Raw genomic sequence first — 6,611 nt, forward strand, 5'->3', positions numbered from 1 at the left:
GTTTACTCAATGGCCCTTAATGGAAAAAAAAAAAAAGCCAAATAAGACTGCTTGTACATGGTTCCAACGTAACAGTTTGAAATATAAATTCCTTTGTAGTTTAGATTCTACCCATCTTAGAGAATACTTTCTAAAATTCTAGTGCCAAGAAAATTGTAATCTCTGAGACATTTTTGTCCAGAATTCTCAGATTTAATTTGGAGAGGTCATATATAAAATATAATTTGTCCCAATAAAGTCAAATTTCTTGATACTTAGGGAATGGAACAATAAATTTTCATAGGCTTTCACTTACTTAGAGGGGTGTGTGGAAAGATGATTGTAGCACCACTAGACACCAGTATCAAAAACACAAAAAATCAAAATTTCAATGTAATCTTTGCAATAATTCAGTTTTAGTTCCTGCAGAATATATGACGATGACCAAATTTGGAATTACTGTTAATGTATATTTATGACATATTATTTAATATTAATACCATTGAGAGTTTCAAACCTTAAGAGAAAATTTAGGCAACTTCCTTAAGCTCACATATATTCCCCAGGTAAGCAGACATTTATAATTTTAGTTTACATTGATCCTTTACTGTTATTTTCTATTTTGTTCAAGTGATGTGTTTAGCTAGCCAATATAACTTGTTAACACAGTGAATTTCCTAGCAGTGATTCAGTAGCTGTGGCAACAATCAGCATGGGAACACCTAAATGCTGTAGATGGCTTCTTATTGATTGCTATAAAAACACAGAAATAAAATGTAAACTCTAAAAATCTATTTACAACCATAGAAGTAATCCTTAAGTACAGGTTGCTGATTTTCAGCTGGCTTTGCTTGAGCAACTCTTTTCCTTCAAGGGCATCCATTACACAGCAACATTTATAATGGAGCCTACAATTACAATATATTTGGAAACACCTATCTTTTAACTTAAAAAGTATGTTAACAATCACTTTCTTGACAATCAATATAATGAACCCACTTGGCCGGGCTTTAATTTATACCCATGTTTCATTATACCAGTTATATTATGACAATGGTATAGTCATAATATAATTGGTCAAAGTTTGGACCATGTTAGGAGCACATGTTAGGAGCATTTGCCATGTTAGGAGTACAGTGGCAAATTGAAAAACCCTGGAATAAGATTTAAATTGAATCCCTCTTCCGATACTTCCTGGACACGTGTCATTCATCAAGCTCAATTTCTTTGAGTTTTGTTTTTGTTTTTGTTTTTGTTTTTGTTTTTGTTTTTTTGAGACGGAGTCTCGCTCTGTCGCCCAGGCTGGAGTGCAGTGGCGCGATCTCGGCTCACTGCAAGCTCCGCCTCCCGGGTTCACGCCATTCTCCTGCCTCAGCCTCCCGAGTAGCTGGGACTGCAGGCACCCGCCACCACGCCCGGCTAATTTTTTAATTTTAGTAGAGATGGGGTTTCACCGTGTTAGCCAGGATGATCTCGATCTCCTGACCTCGTGATCCACCCGCCTCGGCCTCCCAAAGTGCTGGGATTACAGGCGTGAGCCACCGTGCCCGGCCCAAGCTTTTTTTTGTCTGTTGCCATTTCTAGAATTATAAATTCAGAGAACATCAGAATACTATGACAGCTTAAATATCATTTATGCTAATATCTTTACAAATCTGGAAACTGAAGCTCAGTATCTGGGCTCAACTGTAGTCTTGCTTCTCGCATAAGAATAGTTGCTGAGAGACAAGTAACAGTGGTGGTATTCACAAATATAAAAACTGGTAAAACAGAATAACCCAATAGGAAAAATTAATGACAAGCTAATTTGGACACTCATTTTAAATAACTCATTATGCCTCAGTAGTGTGTACTGGTTTGGTAATGTGTTAGTTTGGTAGGGGTGCTGTAGAGGTGTTTCAAAGCCACAAATGGTGTAGCTTAAACAATGGAAATGTATTGTCTCAAAGTTCTGGAGGCTAAAAGGCCAACATCAAAAAGTAAACAGAGTTGATACTTTCTGAGGGCTGAGTGGAAAAATCTGTTGCATGCCTGTTCTCTACCTTCTGCTGGTTGTCTGGCAATGTTCAGCATTCCTTTACTTGTAGAGTCATCACCCTAGTCTCTGCCTTCAATTTTTCGTGGCATTCTCCCTGTATGTGATCTTCTGTGCCCAAATTTTCCCTTTTTGTAAGGATACCTGTCATACTCAGTAAGAGCCCATCCTAATGACCTCACTATAACTAATTATTATCTTCAATGACCCTATTTCCAAAAAAGATCACATTGTGAGGTAGTGGGGGTCAAGATTTCAACATATAAATTTGAGGACAAGCACAATAAAACTCGTAACAGGTAGAATACAAATTTAGTACACAAGGATATTGCAGCATGAATTACTAACACTCCATTTGTTAAAATGTAAATGCTCCCTGAAACATTCAGTAATTTCTCACTCATAGTGCCATTGATGTTGAAATGATTATTTTTCTCCAGAAAAATATATTTAAAATATCACCTAGAAATTAATTATTTTCCAAGCTATTTGGAATAATAATAATATTGACATCTTTATTACCAAAACATAGAAAGTCTATCAGATACTAAGAAAAACCTGCTACTAAGCACCTAATATGTCAAATCCTGGTACTTTAGCCCTTATTCCTTAATATTGGCAGTTAATAAAATTACACATTAAACCTGGATAGCCTTCGGCACTAGACTTTGGCAGGAATTTGCAAAAGCTAAACTTTTCTCAAGATTTAGTAATGATAACAACAACTCAAAAAGAAACAAGTAAAGATAATGGAATAAAATCTCAGACTTGCCAAACCACAAGTTATATGAACACACATATACATATTTACCTGAACACCATTAGAAGTGAAACTTATGTCGTGTGTTCCCATTAAGAAAGAAAACACTCTGGTTAAATTTCATTAAATAAAAAACCTTGGACTGCCCAATTCAGACATCAGAAGACTCGTTAAATGCAAACTCAGAGGTCTTAATGCTAGTGTCGAGGTTTGCACCATAGAAAGCTGAGATGTATTTCATTTCCCTGAGCTTTATGAGGTTAATATGTTGTAAATGTGTAATCAAGTAATAGATAAGCCTGATACTTTAAGGCTGTAGCTGTAGACATTTGGTTGAGAGCAACAGTGCTTGGGGCATGGTTTTATAGAGGGGCTGTATTTCATCACACTATCCTTCTACTCTAGCTTATAATAGTAAATACAGTCGAGCTCATTTAAAAATATCTTCAAAGATTGTGGAGAGAAAGATAGTTCTGGTTTACCAGTAGTACAAATAGCTTTTTTCTTGTTTAGCACTTTCTCCACTGAATAAATAATAACAACCAGAAACATTAACACTTTGGAAGTAATATTAGCTCTTTCAGTTTATCCAAGTGTCCAAATGGGTCACTTTTAACTATGAAGTCTTTGTAGAATCCTTTTTACCTTCATTATTGTCATATTTTATCAAGATGTGCTCATCTTCCACAACATTTTCATCACCAAGTAATCATTTTGTTCAATTTCTTTATTATTTTTGGTATCTTTTATTTGTAATTTATTGCAATAATTACTTTAGAAAGTCTTTTGACTTCATGAAGCAAAACTCTCTAACGCGATTTCATTAAAATTTATAGAATAAGGAATTGGGAACATAGAAAAGCACTAAATAAATGATCTGAGTTGTTTATGGATCTAAATCAGAGAAAGCTTATGTCTATGTGAATTCACTCTACTGTAGTGTTTTCCTGAAGGCAGCTACTAGTTATAGTAATGCTATAGTGTAATACACCACAAGATATAGTAAGGACATATTAGTATATTATAACACACTTCAAAAGAGTGAGGGTGGAAAAGTGGACTGTGTACCTTTTAGAAAAATGATAATAATAATAAAGTAATTAACAATTAACATGTGTTTGATACACATAAGGGGTCTGGCACTGTGCTAAGTACTTTGTACAGATATGACAGTAATAACAACAATTCTGCAAAGTTGGTGATATTGTTATTTACAAAATGAGCTCAAATAATCAAATACAAAAGTATCTTTTTAACCTCCTCCTGAATAAATGTATTTAAATAAAATAAATCAAGATATGGAATCTCAGAAATCACTTTTTAAGGAAGTACTTGATTTTGATATTAGATTGGAAGCACTAAAGTGCAATTGAATTAAAAAGGTTTAGAGAATAATAAATATATTCTTTCTTATGTTTTGCATCTGCCCTCTCACTAATAATTGCAAGAGAAAAAGCAGAAAATTTATTCCAATTTAAGATTTCCTTAAAAAATTTCTTTAAAATCTCATCGATGGTCTTCTTTATGACAAATACCTTATGATGAAAGGCATAAAAGAAACATTTTCTAAAGGAAATTTTATTAAAGTAACTGAAGAAAGATTATTTTAGACTTCCAATAGGTAATCAAAGAAAAAATTAAAAATATTAAACTATAAAATAAATAGGCCAGTTACAGTGTCTCACACCTGTAATCCCAGCACTTCGGGAGGCCAAGGCAGGAAGATCACTTGAGGTCATGAGTTTGAGACTAGCCTGGTCAAAATGGTGAAATCCCATCTCTACTGAAAATACCAAACTTTGTGGTGGCATGCATCTATAATCCCCTCTACTTGGAAGGCTGAGGCACAAGAATCACTTGAACCTGGGAGGCAGAGGTTGCAGTGAGTTGAGAACATGCCACAGCACTCCAGCATGGGTGACAGAGTGAGACTCCATCTCAAGAAAGAAAAAGAAAAAGAAAAGAAAAATTAAACTGTAAATAAATTTTTTCATAATAAGGCAAAAAACTACACCTTTTAAAATTTCCATATGGCTTCTAATAATTTACCCTCAATGATAACCACTGAATCTCACTTTAATTGAATAAAAGGGCCACTATGATCTTTTGAAAATAACTAAATTTAAGACATTACTTTAATGCATATATTTATAATATTTTTTTCTTCAATAACACAACAAATGGACAAATTAGTACAATCCCCAGCCTCCATGGTCCCTGACCAACATCATACAAGACATCTTAATTCATTAGTCACCCTAGATCACTTTTTTTATAATAGGTCTTAGGTTCATTAACCACCATATTTTGTATGAGGGCTTAAGGTATGAACCAAAAGCCATGAAGAAGTTGCCAGTGTCCTGAACTTAATCCTGTCCTCATTCTAATCCCGCCACATCTTCTGCCAACAGAACTCAGAAACGAACAAATTTGAAAACGATTAGTTTTTTTTTGTTTGTTTGTTTGTTTTGCCTCACTGTCATAATTTCTCCGCAAATGCAATGGCTCGGTCTTTAGGCAGCATTTCTTTTCCATTTTGTTAATTTTCCCACCACCATTAATGTGGATTATTACCTTTGCAATATTTTTATACAATTAAGTGACGTTTATTACCAATTCTTTACAACACTATTTTGTTATATGCATAGTTTTATTGTTTTGTCTAAGTAACATTCTTTCCTTTTTTCCTTTTTATTTTTGTCAAAATATAACATTGTTTTCTTCTTTAGCTTTGCCTATCTGCATTTTTCTAATATTCTCATATAGTCAAAATATAAATAATAAACATTACAATCTTTTTAAAAATTAGAAGTTATAATTTCAAGAGATGGAGAAATACCACAACTTTCATTGTATGGTGTATACATGTTCTAAAAAATAGACAATTTTACTCAATGTTAAATATGTAACTTGCTAAATCTTAAAGAATCTTTAATTACATAAAGCCCTCAATAAAAATGGGGAGGGAAAAATAACAGTTAAAATTTTTTATATCAAAGATGATAAATACTTATCTATGAAATTCAGTATAGACCAATGGCTTAAAAACAAATCTGGAATTATGGAGTTACGGATTTGATTTCTAGTTCCATCTTGCATTAACAATATGATTCTAGCCAATATTTTGTAAGGCCTAGTTTTCTTACCTGTAAAATGAGCATAATAATGGTAACTTATGGCCGGGCGCGGTGGCTCCGCCTGTAATCCCAGCTCTTGGGAGGCCGAGGCAGGTGGATCACAAGATAAGGAGATCGAGACCATCCTGGCTAGCATGGTGAAACCCCGTCTCTACTAAAAACATACAAAAAAATCAGCCAGGCGTGGTGGCGGGCGCCTGTAGTCCCAGCTACTCGGGAGGCTGAGGCAGGAGAATGGCATGAACCCGGGAAGCAGAGCTTGCAGTGAGCCGAGATCACACCACTGCACTCCAGCCTGGGCAACAGAGCAAGGCTCCATCTGAAAAAAAAAAAAAAAGTAACTTATTGGGTTTTGAAAATAATTAAATAAGAAAAAATAGCACAGAGCCATATTATAGAGAAAAATACTTCATAAATATGTAAATATTAATGATTATTAGTCAAAGCTGAAGTATTAGGAAACCATTGACTTTTTAGATTTTTAAGATTCTAAATTAATAAACTAGGGAATTCTACAATAACAAAAGAAGAAAGAGGAAAAGGAGAAGGAGAAGTAGTAGGGACCCCTACCTCTTCATTTATCTGCTCTGGATGAATTTCTGAAAGGCTCCTCTATCTCCTTCTAGTCTCTGTTTCTCCCATTGATTTTCATTCCTTTTCTCTCTACAATATGGCCTGTGGTCTCATATTCACAGAATAC

The 6,611-nt window shown here is 34.4% G+C and overlaps 1 annotated feature.

Moving 5' to 3' along the window:
• Positions 5,535-6,035: an enhancer, noted in NCBI's record as "H3K4me1 hESC enhancer chr1:106930344-106930844 (GRCh37/hg19 assembly coordinates)". NCBI's record gives its function as "activates a minimal SCP1, AML or CMV promoter by ChIP-STARR-seq in naive H9 embryonic stem cells {active_cell/tissue: H9 hESC(naive)}" and the evidence as "EXISTENCE:reporter gene assay evidence [ECO:0000049][PMID:30033119]".

This window comes from Homo sapiens, chromosome 1 (genome assembly GCF_000001405.40).
Source record: "Homo sapiens chromosome 1, GRCh38.p14 Primary Assembly".
Taxonomy (NCBI): Eukaryota; Metazoa; Chordata; class Mammalia; order Primates; family Hominidae; genus Homo; species Homo sapiens.